Source organism: Homo sapiens, chromosome 8 (assembly GCF_000001405.40).
Source record: "Homo sapiens chromosome 8, GRCh38.p14 Primary Assembly".
Taxonomy (NCBI): domain Eukaryota; kingdom Metazoa; phylum Chordata; class Mammalia; order Primates; family Hominidae; genus Homo; species Homo sapiens.
Genome location: NC_000008.11, coordinates 71,544,476 through 71,558,667, shown reverse-complemented (window position 1 = coordinate 71,558,667; position 14,192 = coordinate 71,544,476). Strand labels below are relative to the sequence as shown.

At 44.0% G+C, this 14,192-nt stretch overlaps 1 protein-coding gene and 2 long non-coding RNA genes across 18 annotated transcripts in view, besides 1 other annotated feature; 2 read left to right on the top strand and 1 right to left on the bottom strand.

The window, feature by feature from the left end:
- Positions 1,074–1,986: an enhancer, noted in NCBI's record as "H3K4me1 hESC enhancer chr8:72468917-72469829 (GRCh37/hg19 assembly coordinates)". NCBI's record gives its function as "activates a minimal SCP1, AML or CMV promoter by ChIP-STARR-seq in primed H9 embryonic stem cells {active_cell/tissue: H9 hESC(primed)}" and the evidence as "EXISTENCE:reporter gene assay evidence [ECO:0000049][PMID:30033119]".
- LOC105375892 (uncharacterized) lies at positions 3,899–8,679 on the top strand. The gene is made up of 3 exons (XR_929032.3): positions 3,899–4,292; positions 6,837–6,907; positions 8,376–8,679. It is a non-coding gene; the product is annotated as an uncharacterized LOC105375892 (long non-coding RNA).
- LOC102724772 (uncharacterized) lies at positions 4,847–11,023 on the bottom strand. 4 transcript variants are annotated; one of them, XR_929033.3, is made up of 5 exons: positions 10,973–11,023; positions 9,760–9,856; positions 7,494–7,642; positions 6,816–6,885; positions 4,847–5,108 (listed from the first exon to the last, which is right to left on the bottom strand). It is a non-coding gene; the product is annotated as an uncharacterized LOC102724772 (long non-coding RNA). The 4 variants fall into 4 exon arrangements; XR_929035.3 differs by having other exon boundaries at positions 6,816–6,880; XR_428360.4 differs by lacking the exon at positions 4,847–5,108 and adding an exon at positions 5,968–6,187.
- Positions 10,574–14,192, top strand: part of EYA1 (EYA transcriptional coactivator and phosphatase 1) — a 350,662-nt gene continuing 347,043 nt past the window's right edge. For 8 of the 13 annotated variants that reach the window (XM_047421522.1, XM_047421524.1, XM_047421519.1 and 5 more), the window contains exon 1: positions 10,964–11,153. The gene's annotated coding sequence lies outside the window, so the exon portion shown is untranslated. Of the gene's footprint in view, positions 10,805–10,963; positions 11,154–14,192 lie in introns of those variants that run through there. The other 5 variants (XM_047421528.1, NM_001370336.1, XM_011517484.4 and 2 more) reach the window with 1 other exon arrangement.

Genomic DNA, 14,192 nt, shown 5'->3' with positions numbered 1-14,192 from the left:
TTTAGGTGGCACATGGCTAACAATTAGCAACCTCCCTAAATGCATTAGCAAAGGTGTTTCTCCAGGAAACGGTAACTGGGCGTCCTTTGCCTCCTGCACAGTCACCTTCCTGATTTCTTGGAAAGAACCCGAGACGGCTAGGACCCGGCTGACCCGTCCGGGCTGGTCGGCCCTTCCTGGCGCCTAGCTTTGTTCTTTCCCCGGACTGTGTCCCACGATTCCCCCAGAGCAGTGGCGGCCCCAGAAATTCTAGGAGGCCTCCGCTAAGGGCAAGAATTGGTTTGGGTCTTACGGCTGGAGGTGGGGGGTCTTGTCTTCAAGCTGAGCTCCACTGCACACTAGCATTTTTACCACTTAGATTGGATGTTCCCGGCGGGCGGCAGGGGGAGGAATGCTAACGCTGGCCCAAGCGACCCTTTAAAGGCTCCACCCCTGCCTTGAAACGGACGGCTTGCACTTGGCCGAGGCTAAGACCGCCAAAAAATGCGGGGATGTCCATAAAGGCGAGAAGAGACTATGCTTTACTTATCGTAATTTTCTGCCCGCGGCCGTTTTTGATAGTAAGGAAATGGTACTGACCACAAAACAGTCTAGAGCTTAGGGATGAAAACGGAGGAGGGGTTGGGATTAGGGCTGGAGACCGTGGATTCTTAGAAATCAGAAAAGAAGGGAGATGAGTTCGGGATTTGTCGCCCGAATCTGTCAGCAAGAGGGCATCTGGGTTTGGGAGTGCTGTGTCCTGGCCTTGCAGCGCGGCATTGGGAGGAAAACACCCCAGCCTGTTGTTACTCCGTACTTGGGTTAGAGGAGATGCACTGGGAATCGGATCCAGAGTCTACGATCCCCTTGCTGAGTGTTCATTCATCGAACACACATTTACTGGTGGGTCGTCCTGCGCCAGGAACTATTTTAGACGCTTGGCATACAGCGATGTCACCGTGGGCAGGTCACTTGACCCCTGGGAATGCTCATTTCTTCTTCAGCAGAACTGCAGGGTTGGACGACTGCAATATCGCTAAGATCCCTCAGGCTGTCAAATATGACACAGGCATGAATGGGTGTGCCCTCTACTGACAGATGAGCCCCCTACTCTCGGCAGTGGGCGGGGAGAAGGACCCGATAGGCCATTTTTCTTTGGTCACTTCTGGGCTGGGGAGATGTTATTGTTCCTCATGCTAAGCCAGCAGAACAGAACTGTGCAGGGGTGCGGAAATCTAACTCATCCTAGTCACAGATGAGGCTCATTTTCCAAAATACTGCGGCAGTCTAGGTGAAAACTCCCTTCGGAAGCTTATCCTCAAGTATCTGACACTCCTTGGTGTCAGAACAGGCCTCCCTTTGCGACAAACGCGCAGCATTAGGGCCCTTTACAGCTAGGCGCCACGGGCCGGGCCCGTCCTCACCCGGCGACTCTTGCTGTGGCCCGGGGTCCCACTCCCGCCTAGCGCTAGGAGGAGAAACCGACGCCAGTCGCTCAGCCGGGGCCACCTCAGTGGCCCGGCCTCCAGCCTGCGCTCCCCCGCGCTGCAGAGCCGATTTTCCTGTCCCTGTCCATCGAAACCTTGTGTGCATCGGTTAGTGCTTCCTGGGCGTTTGCTTCTAGCCGACGCTGACAGTGGAGTGCCAGAAAGAGGGAGAGGACCGCCATGGCTACTCTGCCCTGGTGTCACCATGCGCTCTCCCCCGGCACCGGCGAGGCGAAACGTTTCGCTAGTCCCCGGGAGGCCCCTCGTCAGGGCAGCAGCATCCCTGCACCCTCTCCGCAGGTGGTCTCCCCGACGCCACAGGTGGCCAGCAGGGCGCGGGTGGGGGCAGGAGCGCCTCTCCCCTGCCCAGGCCTCCCGCTCCTTCTCGGAGCGCTGTGGCGGGGTGGAGAGACAGCCTTCTACAGCTAGTCTAGCTCGGCGCGGTTCCCGTCTGTGGCCTCCTAATCCCACAGCCACAGCGCCTTCCTCTAACCTCCCTCGGTGGGCTTAAAGCCTCCCGTTCCTTCTGTCTCATTCCTTCTGCTCCCTCCCCCCGAAACCCCCAGCTGAGAGCTGGGAACCTGCGCCAGTGACTGCGCGACAGTGTTGACGGGCCGCGGCCACTGAGGAGCTTGGGGGAGAGGCGGGGAAGGGAGGGAGGGGCGGGAGAAGACCGAACCCTGGGAGAGGCCGTGGGTTGGGGCAAACCGATCCTCGAAGGGCTAAGCAGAAGCAGCTGCTAGTAATAGGCGCCGCCGGGAGGCAACGCGTTTCCCCGCCCGGGACGCTCGTGGCTGCCGCGGGCGCGCGGGCGGCGGCGTGGAGAGAGCGAGCGCCCGCAGGAGTGATCCGCAGCTTAGGCGCCCGCTCCACCCGCAGGCCTCATCTGCAGACTTACCAAATCTTGAAGGAACTCAGCAGCTCCAGGGGACTTTCTTGATTTGCCCTCCTCACCAAGGCATCATAAAATGCCCCTTACATCCACTTCTCCCACTCGAAGGAGCTCTCTCCTTTTCCTTCCTTGCATCCGAAGAATGGTGCTAAGTAAGTGTTATTCAAAGCTCCACAAGGACATGGGACGGTGGATATCAGTTGAAGTCCCCTCACCTTTTCACACCCAGCATCCTTGCAGAGATGGCCACACACTTCCCATGGTTTCCTGAGGTCAACCAGCAAGGACGGGCTTCACTTAGAAGTATCTTTTGGGTTATCTTTTCCCAAGTACTTCCGAGAAGCAAAATAAGGAAATGTCTGCTGCCGTGTGGGAAGCTTAAAATATTAGACAAGTGTTTGTAAATGAAGAATCTGGAAACTTAAGAAAATGTCTGTCTTGTATGGAAATCCACGACAAACCCAAACGGGCTTTTATCTATCATTTTATCTCTCTCCATTATCCACATGAATATAAAAACCCCGTGATTTTAAGAAGCATTTGGCATTTGCTCTTGTGTTTTATTTCCATATATTCGTGAATTGGCAATTGGCCTTCAAAACCTATACATTTGAAAATATATCCTGAAAAAATAAAGCTTAGCTCAACCTTTCATGCAGTTTTTTTTTTTTTTTAAATTGGGGAAACGTTTTCTAAAGTCTCCCCCTGGCACCCGGCCCCAGGTAGAGTCCCACTGCTTTCACAGCCTCTGGTTCCACTACTTCGGTGATATCTAGCAATAAAATCTTTGCGGTGCCCAAATACAGTCAATCTAGAATTTCTGTCTTTGGATGTTTAGATCATGCAAAGTTTTCATTACAATCTTGTTAACAGGTTTTGTTTAATTCAAGACATGTTAGAAAAGAAAAACAAAACACAACATTCTTATTGGGGAATAATTTTTCTTAAATCTTGACTTGATTGAGATATCAGAAGTAGCACTTTATCTTCTCCTTTCCAAAGAAAATTCGTTTTCGATTTTATTTATCAAATTATGCATCTACATTGACAGAAGTTTGTCTTTTCCCTTTATTTACAATAAATTATTTTTAGCCAAAAAAGGCACATTTTGAAGCAAAACAGCTTCCAGAAGCAGTCCACTTTCTTTTATTTATCTGCCTACCTGTTTAGCTACCCAAAACATATCATAAAAGGGTGTTCTTTCATCTTCTCTAATTCCTGAGGGCTTGACTGCTCTCTAAAGGAATGAAATTCGAATGTCCTGTTTGAAGGAGGTGACACATCTCTGTGTCTTAGATTTGGACAAAGAAACTGTTCATAATCTTTGGTAAAATAATCTACAACTACTTAGAAACAGCCTCAGGAACTGCATCTCTCTTTTGAGGTTTCCCAGCAAAAATCCCCACCACATACTGCTTGTACATTTCTGTCTATAGACACGTCCCTGTTCAGACCATCACCTTCGCTCTTCCACTTTTATTGGATAAGTGCAGCTGTGAAGAACCAAAAACAATACAGACTGGGAAAGAACAATGGAGATTCTCGAATTCTAAAGCTGTACCATAATTTCTAGTTTCACTTCTCCTCTCTTCCCCGCCTCCCCCAGTCTCCTATCCAATTTGCAGGACCACGTGTGCGGTTCTGCATCCCACAGTCTCTTCTCGAGTTTCTTATACAGTTTTTGTTTTTTTCCTCTCAAGTAGTCAGGGAAAAAAAAATGCCGAGGGGGAAAAAGGCCTGAAATCGAATTGCAGATCCACCAGGCAGAGCTATAGGTCGCGCCTGCACACAGTACCAGCTCCCAGAGTCTCCCAGGACTTCTAGGAGACTGCCTCAAAATACACCAGCGTCCTAGGCTTGAGAAACGAGATAAGCCTTGCTAGATTTCCGTAGAGTGAAGGTGAAATCGACGAGAGAAAACCCTTCTACCTGAGGTGAATTTCGCTTAACTATATGAACTAGGCTCAAGTCGTTTCTTGGTCTTTGGTCATATGATTCCTCCCAAGTCGCCACAGACCTGCGGGCGACCCCAGTCCCTCTCCCTCTTTCTCTCTTTCTCTCTCTCTCTCTCTCTCTCTCCCCCCAGCTCAATTTTCATATCAAATGAGCCATCCACTTTCGATCCTTGCAACCACATTTGCAGTATTTCTTAACAGTAAACACTGCTTTGTTATGCAAACGATTTGATCAGCATTTCTAGCTCACAATTAATTTTCTACACGCGTTTATATCCCCCTGTGTCCGGCCTCACTGGCAATCCGCTTCCAACAGCACAGAGTACAGGTAAACAAATGCACGCCACGTTTTGCCTCCGTGGATATCATTGCATCTGCTTGCATGTAAGAATTATCCGAGTTGCTGCGACACGACCCAGACCTATTAAATTAGTGACTTGAGACTGCTAAGAAGTTATACATAACTTCAAAGATTAAAAATTGTTATAAGGGATCACACTGCAATGACCAAAGGGTTCATATGTTTTCTTGTTTACGTATGCGTGTGAATGAGTAACTGGTTTTTACTCCAACAAACATATTGTCCCAGCTGATCAGTAGTTTTCCTTAGCTGTTATTTGAGTTTTCCTTTTGCCTATATACATTCTATGATTTTAAGGGAAGTATCTACATTATGTTAGATTTAGGCAAAATTTGGGCTAGCCATTTACCTCATTATCTTCAGCAAATTAAGTGAAATCCTGGGACAAATATTTCAGAATAAAATGGCCAATAGTTGTTAGTATTCTGTGCATTCTGAAAAATAAATGATAAAATTTATCCTTTGGAGTCCCTCCTTTCAAACTCACCATAAACATATGGTTTTGAGTTATGATTCAGTTTATACACATATTTAATATCATGTAAGAGCACTGGTTTTAACTGATGCTATAAAGCAATTTTCAGTTTTGTTTCTTAAAGGATAGGTTAAAAATAATACATTTATTTGATAAAATAGAATATCTTAGCCAAACAATACACACAAACAAAATATCTCTGTTAGGAGAGAAACCACATGGAGGCAAGGAATAAACAAACAAACAAAAAAAAGCAGACAAGAAAACAAAACAAGTCAACCCCAATCAGCAATTCAGCTCTCTATCTGACAAATACTCAAGGATACTTAGATTTTCATTACCCAAAATAGCTTTTCAGTGCCTCTTGTTATATGTTAAGAAGTAAAGACAATTACCATGTTGGAAACTTAATTTTCCTCACTCTAAATATTTTAGACTTATCAAACAAACAATGTATTGTATTGTTTGCTTTCCTCTTTCCACTACTCCTTTGGCACTAATTTTGGCACATTGGTGGTGCTTGGTTTGGCATACAAGGCAAGGAAGTCTGAAAATTATTTTTACTGCTACCTCTAGGACTATTCTTCAGGTTTATTGTTGGCTAAAGGAGAGCTGCTTGTTTCGTCTCAATGGGCCTCCATCCAGTCTATGTTTTTATAAAATAAAACCTTTAATGTTACATCTTTTTGATGAATCCAAGCTTTCATATCCTGGCCTCTGTGAAATAAGGGTATACCTGTTTAGTTTTGTTTTTGCATGATGATAGAACTCACAGAATGAAATAGATTTTTCTTTTTAAAAAGTTTAACAGTAATTTACAACTGTAAACCAAAGTCAACAAAAGTACTATCAGCTATCGGCCAAAAGCATGGTCAGGAAAGAGCAAATGAGATTGAACCTAGATAAGTGCAAGTAGTATGTCTAGGGAAATATAATCTAAAAGTCATAAACTTGAGGTCCACTCTTCATGAGTCAAACTTTGAAGCATTTCCGTTCTGCTGGCCATTGGGGTTTACTTGTGGAGCATGCAGTTCTGTTCTAAACCATACGGGAAGAACAAAATGATGAATATTATTTTTAAAATTCACCTGCAATTTTATTCTTGAAGAAAAAGGTGCTATTTTAAAAATTCCCTACTTGTGAGAAAAAATAATAAATCTGATGTTTGTTTGTCATATGATATAGACAGTTTAAAACAACAATCAGCCATTGCCTTTTCCAGGGGGAGGGGGAGAACATGTGACTGACACATTGAGTAATCATATTCCCCAAAAGCACTTGCTAAATATCATCTCTTTGTAAACGTCAGCTCACAAATGGATATGGCAATAAGTAGAATAATCTGGATAAAAGTAAATTGAAAGTTTAGGAAAGCTCCACCTATAACAGTTGACAACAAAAAGCATATATACAGACATATATATGTATGACAACAAAAACATATAGACATGTATGTATACATATTATGTCAAGAGAAAAAAGTGATAAAATAAAAATTAGATAAATTAAGTTAAACATGCAGAAACACTTTATTTCAATAACTTTGATTCACTAAAAGGAAATGTTCAACAGGACAGGTTTTCCTTTTTAATTAATTAAATATACAGTAAAGTTTAGCATAGTAATTATTTATGAGACATAGGTAAAACATTATTTGAAAACTAACCTTAAGTCTTTGCTTTAGTAGAAATCTGGTCAAGAATCCTAGTGTTGCATTCCTCACTTGGTCTCCTAAGCTGACAGTGAATGAAGATAAAAGTAAGCTTGTTCCCTTCATCCCAGATTCTTTCACTGCCTACCTCCCAAACCCCTGGTATAATTAAAGAATCTGGTGATGTCCTTTAGAAGTCTTGATGGGGAAATTTACTTCCTAATGTTAGCCAACAATAGCTTGTTTAGAAAACCAGTCCTAATGTAATAAGAAATTGGCTGGAAAACTCACAATTTATGGCTCATGTAATATAAACCTATCTAGTGAGTAAACTTCTCCCTAGGTTAGTTCATACATGTTTTAGGGGATCAATGTGCATATAAATTAATTTGCAGATTACAGGATATTCCAGTAGATTAAAGAGTGCATGTACTTATATAAAGGTCCTAGAGCTTAGAGATTGTATCTTTAGTCTTAGTATAACTTTTGTTGGTATTATTATTCTAGTGCCTTCAACTAATGCTCCTTAGACTGAAGAGATGCACTTTATATTGAAAGAGTTAACATAATCCCTCACCATAATAAGTGATTTAGCTAAGTGAAAGTAAAAAGCCCAGTATTGGAAACAAATGATTCATCCATTCAAAGTTTCTTTAAATTGTTTCTGTATATAAGAAAATTCCTAACTCACACCTGGGGAGTTGGCTTCACTCTAAGCTGTTCCCACATGGTCCAGTCTTCTCTCATTGATGCTCAGGAATAGATCTTGATCTCAGTTAAAGGGTTGGATCCTCATTCTCCTTCTTAAGAATAACTCATTTTAGGTGTATTTGGAAGTTTTTCTATAGGAAAATACATTGCTAAACTAAATAATGAAGAAATTTTCAAAGTGTGTGTGTGTGTGTGTGTGTGTGAGACAATGAGACAGAGAGAAAGAGAGAATTTCTTTTGAATCAGGACTGGTCACAACATACCTAACCTGTGAGTGTAGGCAGAATATAAATGTTCAAAGAACTAGAAACTCTTGTTGATTTTTGCCCTTTGCCTTTCGTAGATCTGTATTTGAGAATATGAATAGAACCTGAGTTTAAATGCACATTTCTATCACGTGTGTTCTGTGTTTATGCCATAAGCCAGCAGATAACTCTATACTTCAGCAATTTTTGTGCCTTCTTATGAAAAAAACCATTGTCATGTCTTTATGGTACATAATTTAGGTTAGGATAGCAGTTAGGATTAACATGTTATAATATGTAAACAGCTGAATGTTCTAAGTCCAATATAAACTAACAGATACATAATTGACTCCTTATGGCATATTTTAGTTATTCATGGAAATTCTACAGATAAATATATCTATATCTATGTCTATATCAAGATATGTATGTAAACTCAAATATAACCTCAGATGGATAATTATGAATATATGTTCTAGCCTATTTTGGCTTGGTGGTGCAAAGGACATTTAAATTTGTATTAAACATTTTATTCATACTTGTATTCATCTAAAATTTAAAAATGAAGTATACTTTAATAAAAAATAAACCCACCTCTGGTGGTATAACTCATTTGCAGGTGGTGACCCTACACCCAGGCAGGACTGTAAATCCACGCTGTTTGCCTGTGACTGATTTGGGATTTGGATTTCTGATCTGGCTGAGTGATGTGTAAAAACCTCAAGTAGTCAACAGCTCCCTATTGGCTATGCATCTGAGGGGCTCAAGAGCATTGTTTATTCCAGCAAGTGTCTGGAATACATTATACTGGATGAATTGGCTCCTGCTACTCCCGTTTTGGAGAATATGAAGAATTTTATACTGTGCTAAAATAAATGTACTTTGTGCAAATAACTTTCCTAAATAAAAAATTTTGAATATGACTCTATCTTCTGAATCCACTACTGCCAATATTTTAAACATATGGCCTTTCTGAAAGAGTAGTGATGAAATAATTCTCCACACCTTCAAATTCAGAAACTCGTTCAACATTTAGATCGGTTTTTATCCAAGGCCATATGAAAGTGGGTTTCCCTAAAAAAATAAAATGGTCAGATATTTGGGTTGAGAACTGTTCTCTCAAACTTTAAGAATACTAGGATAAAGTATCAAAATAATTCTTCTATTAATACATAAAAATTTTAGGTGATATGTTACTTCTGAACTATATAAATTGATTTTTAAAATATGATTTTCAAATAGATAGTATGCCTGCCATCTTTGACATGAGAAACTTTCATTGCCTTTGGTAAGTTCTTAGCAAATACTTATATCTGGTAGCTTTGGGTTATTTTTTCTCCCCTCCTCCCTCAAATAAAATTTTTGATCACCTAATCTTTAAGTCTCTGGATTTGCTTTTTTATGTTATAGTAATTCTTTATGAATAGGTAGAAAGCATAGGTAGTAGTTTCCTTTTCAAAAAGGAAAAGCCATCCTCATCAACTGGGTAATTTAACTAACATTTCTATTTGGGCAAGGTATTGGGGTTTTATTGGGTTAACAGTTTATTGATGCATTGATTTCTACATGAAGTCTCCCTCACCCAACATACATGGTTTATTTTGGAAAGTTTCTGTGTCTGAAAACATAAAAATATCCAACAGTTAAGGACCAAAAAAAAATCAGTCTTTGTGTAGATTTCTGATTATTTCCTGTGTGTTGGTCTTATCACAGAATCTATAATCTGTGGCCTTTGAAGGTGAAGGATTAGATCTCATTGTTCTGACTCTTCATGGCATCTAGCACAAGTCAACAAATACTCAATGACTGACAGAAACAATAGTAAAGTGTGTGAATCTAGACAATTTTGAAAGAGTATGTACAATAATACCTGCATTCATGCTATGCTTTCTACTTTCTAAGGCCCTTTTGCTTACATGATCTCATTGGATGTGAACAATTGAGTGGGGGATGGGGAAGGGATTTCATCTGAGGGAGAGAAGAGCCAACATTCTGATGCTCACTGAGAAGTGATGAGTCCTTATAAGAGCAAATCATCAAGGTATTTGCATATCTTTCACTGCTCCTGATTGGATTCCCCAGTCAAGTAAGAGGAAGATCCTGGAGAAGGAACATCTCAGATTACTGGCTTGTAATGGATGCTTCATCCAATGCTGAAATACTTTGCAGGTCGAATCAAGGTTCTCTAGCTCCCCTTAAGTTACAGAGACAAGGGAATTTTGGGGTTACAGAAACTTCCCCCTACCAGCTCAAAGCGTCCCTTGGTGCAAAGAAAGGCAAAAAGTTTAGAAGAAAGGACAATGGGTTAGGCCTGGGCATTTAGTCAAGGCTCCCCTGCCCGACTTTGGGGTAATCCATTTACCATTCTTGGCCTCAGTTACGCTATCTGTAAGAAGTTAGAATACATACCTTTAAGATCACTTCTAAAGGTATTTGAATCCCAGATGTTTTAATAAGTTTCAGGCTGACTGAATATTCCTTTACATCCAACCTACAGCCCCTCGCCCCAAATCACCAAATCACTCCACCCATCCTCCCCTTCAGGACCTCCCCATGCACACCTAGCTTCCTCGCGGTGACAGAACTAACCCACCACCCCCTCCTTCTGTTTCTGAGGCCTCTCCGTAGAAAACGCTGCAGGGGCCAGGCGTCCGAGACACCCCGCGGGGCAGTGGGCACCAGGCCCAGGCTCCGGCTGCAGAGCGGAGGGGCGTCGGGCCCAGGAAAGGGGCTGTGGGTGGGGGTACGGGGGAGACCCGAGGGGTGCTGGGAAGAGGGCTCCCCTCTCCAGCGCCAGCCCTGGTGTCGCTGTGCACTCGGAGCCGCGCGAAGGGCGCCCCTCGACCCGGAGGCACAGGAGCGTTTAGAGAGGAAAGAAAGAAAAAGCCACCGCTGGCTCGAATTTCTGGAAGCCGGAGCCGGGTTTTTTGCCCTAAACACCGAGGCAGAACCCCTCTTAGCGCTGCCCCGGCCTCTCTGTTACCCATTTTCGGTTTGCTTTTGGAAGAACCGGTTCCTCAGCCCCCCGTCGCCGCAGTTGTGACACAAGTAAGTGCAGCCGCGCTGCCCGGGGCCCGCCAGGGTCCCCCGCGCCCGCTCCCCACCGTGGCTCGCGGCGGCCGCGCTCCCGCCCCGCCCCGCTCGGCCGCCCCGCCGGCTTCTGCCTCCAGTTGGGTTGCCGTGACGAGGAGACGTTGTTGTGAAACTAAATCTGACCCTGAGTTCCCAGGCGGCGGCCGAGAGCCCGCGGCTGCTGATGCCCCTGGGCCCCACCCCGGGGCAGGAGGGCGGCGATCGGCGCCCGGGAAGCGGCTGAGGGGCGCCGCGACTCTCAGCGAGCGCCGCCCGAGCCCCAGCCCGCCCGGGCAGCCTCCGAGGCCTAGGGCGCCGCCGCCAGGTACGCGAAAGTCACCTGGAAGGGAGCTGGGTGCGCGCAATAATGGGGCCTTGAGCCGTGGCCGGCAGGGGAGAGGTGCAGCCGCCCAAGGCCCGTGGCGTCGGGCGCTGCACGTGGAGGGATGTGTCAAGGGCCGGTTTGTTTTCCTTCGGGGAGGTGGTAACTGATTGGGACGTCGGGGGACGGAGGGGAGGGTCCTCTTGGCCTGATATGATGTTGTGATTGCCATCTTAGACATGTGCGTGAGCTCGAAGCTCCAGTAATGGGAAACATCTGGAGGGCAGCCCAGGCAGGCAGATACTTAGTTTTAGCGCTTTCTGGCCCAGGCCTTTCCTTTGGCCAAAAGTGGTTTGATTGGTCCAAGTCAAAGAGGCGAGTTAAAAGAAGTAGAGGTAAATTGGAGGGGTCTGCTTTCGGAGAATTATTATTTCTGTGAATAATTAGGAAAGCAAAGAAAAATAAACAAGATCTCTGCTTTTATGAGGGTTGGGGACGGGTGGGTGGGAATAATGCCCGCTGTGTAAACACTTTTCATCGTTTTCTTTATGGTAATTAAGGCCCACCAGACTTTTGTTGTTGTGGTAGCAAGACCGACTAATGCTAGGTAGGTAAATCATCTCATAAAAGTGAAGGCTTCTTTAAAAAATTCCAGTGGGAGAGTGACTGAAATGTGTCATGAAGCGTGAATTGATTATATATTCAAAAGAATCGGGCCAGGCGTTGTGGCTCACGCTTGTAATCCCAGCACTGTGGGAGGCCCAGGAGGGCAGACTGCCTGAGGTCAGGAGTTTGAGACCAGTCTGGCCAACATGGTGAAGCCCCGTCTCTACTAAAAATACACAAAAATTAGCCAGGCGTGGTGGCTGGCGCCTGTAATCCCAGCTACTCGGGAGGCTGAGGCAGGGGAATTGTCTGAACCAGGGAGGTTGGAGGTTGCAGTGAGCCGAGATTGCGCCACTGCAGTCTAGCCTGGGCGACAGAGCGTTCAAAAAAAAAAAAAAAATAAGAATCAGTAGAAAGTGTCTACTAAGCACAGAGGATCCTGGCTATGAGTGCAAAGTGCAGGAATAATGTAACAGCAGGATGTCCATGTTGGTCAATGAAGGCATTCTTCCATTTTGTTCAGAGACACCAACACCTTCAATGTCCTGGGTCTCTCCTTTGAGTTGTTCATTCAGCTACTATTGGAAAATGTGCATTGTACCAGACATTTTGTTACATGGATAAAAATTGTTTCTGCATTGAAAGAGCAAGCAGTCTGATGGACAATTGTGATCCAATGTGACTGGTACTCGGATGGGGAAAAAAATAGGTGTGCAAGGCTTCCTGGCGGAGTGGCTTGAATGAGACTTGGAGACCAGGTAGGACTCTGGGTGGAAGGGGCATTGGCCAGGTGGAGAGTTGTTGGCACTAGGGGCATCTGGAGTAGTCTGGGGTAGCTGCAGGTGAGCAGGAGAGACCTAGGGTAGACACTGATGTGCTGGGATGGTATCTGGGGCTAGGTTTGAACAGGGATGGATGTCAGACAAAATGAAACTAAATTAGACCTGTTCCTTGATCAAGAGAGAGCACAGTGTAACTTGTGTCACCATTTGGAATTTGTGAAGGCCTTGCAGAGAAAGCAGAGAAAAGTGCGAATTAAGATAGGGAAAAAAGGCCGGGCACAGTGGCTCACACCTGTAATCCCATCACTTTGGGAGGTGGAGGTGGGCGGATTACGAGGTCAGGAGATCGAGACCATCCTGGCTAACGGGTGAAACCCTGCCACTACTAAAAATACAAAAAATTAGCTGGGCGTGGTGGTGGGCGCCTATAATCCCAGCTACTTGGGAGGCTGAGGCAAGAGAATGGCGTGAACCGGGGAGGCAGAGCTTGCAGTGAGCCGAGATCGCCCCACTGCACTCCAGCCTGGGCGACAGAGCGAGACTCCATCTCAAAAAAAAAAAAAAAAAAAAAGGAACAAAATAAGAACGATGAAAAAAATCTAATAGTGGAGTTATTTAGCCTATAAAAAAGTCGAGATGTATACAAAAGATAATTAGAGAGAGAGGTGTTATAATAACAGTATTGATTTACTAATTGTTATCTTAGTAACCTGAAATGCAATGCCTGAAAGTGTCTAATTTTTCTTAGAAAATTGACTTACGTGATCTAGCTGTTTCTTTTTGGATATAAAAAGTAGACAACTGAGTATATTGCATTATGGTTTTATGACCTTTTATCCTTTATGAAGTGCTTATACACTCACAGTTATTTATTGAGCATGTACTATGTGTAGGGTGCATCGTCAGTATTTTCCATCCTATTAGATGGCATTAATGCCATTGTACTGATGAAAAAGCAGGTTCAGACTGGTTAATATTTCCAAGATTATAGAGTTGATAAGTGCCAGAGTTACAGACTCAAATCCCTACCCTCCTGCACTGAGTTTTCAGTCTACCCTTTTACTCATCCAGACTGGCTCTGCTTTTAGCTTTCTCCCATTCATCATTTCTATCTGTGACTTGAAAGAAGAAAGCTAAAGTGATGATTTTTAGGTTGGCATATTACACAAGGCTGGAATGGATATCCCTGTCATTGGCTCATGGAATCATGAGTCAAAGAGAATCTGAGTGAGCCTGAATGATAGGCAGAAACTAGCAAGATGAGAATTTCACAGAAATGAATCAGTTTCCCAAATATAGAACAGCAGAATTACGACTTGAAAACAGGCCATTTGCAGAAGAATTTGAATATCCCTAAGCTCAGTAAGTGCCAATGGTGTTCAGATCCAGGGGTCATTGACCAACAGGTAGGTCCTTTGGAGGGGGATCAGAAAGTTAAGTAAGTAACTCATTTAAAAAAGATGTACAGTCAGGTTTCAATCCTAGAGAGCAGAGCCTTTAGGAAAGATTGTAATCTTCAAATATTTCAAGGATCATTTTGTATAGGAGGATGTTGAAATATTGTGTTGGTGCAGAAGAAAAATTGACCTTAGAGAAGAGGGCTTTGATGATTCTATTTCAGCTTAGTATAAGGAAAAGCCTCCTAAAGACTAAA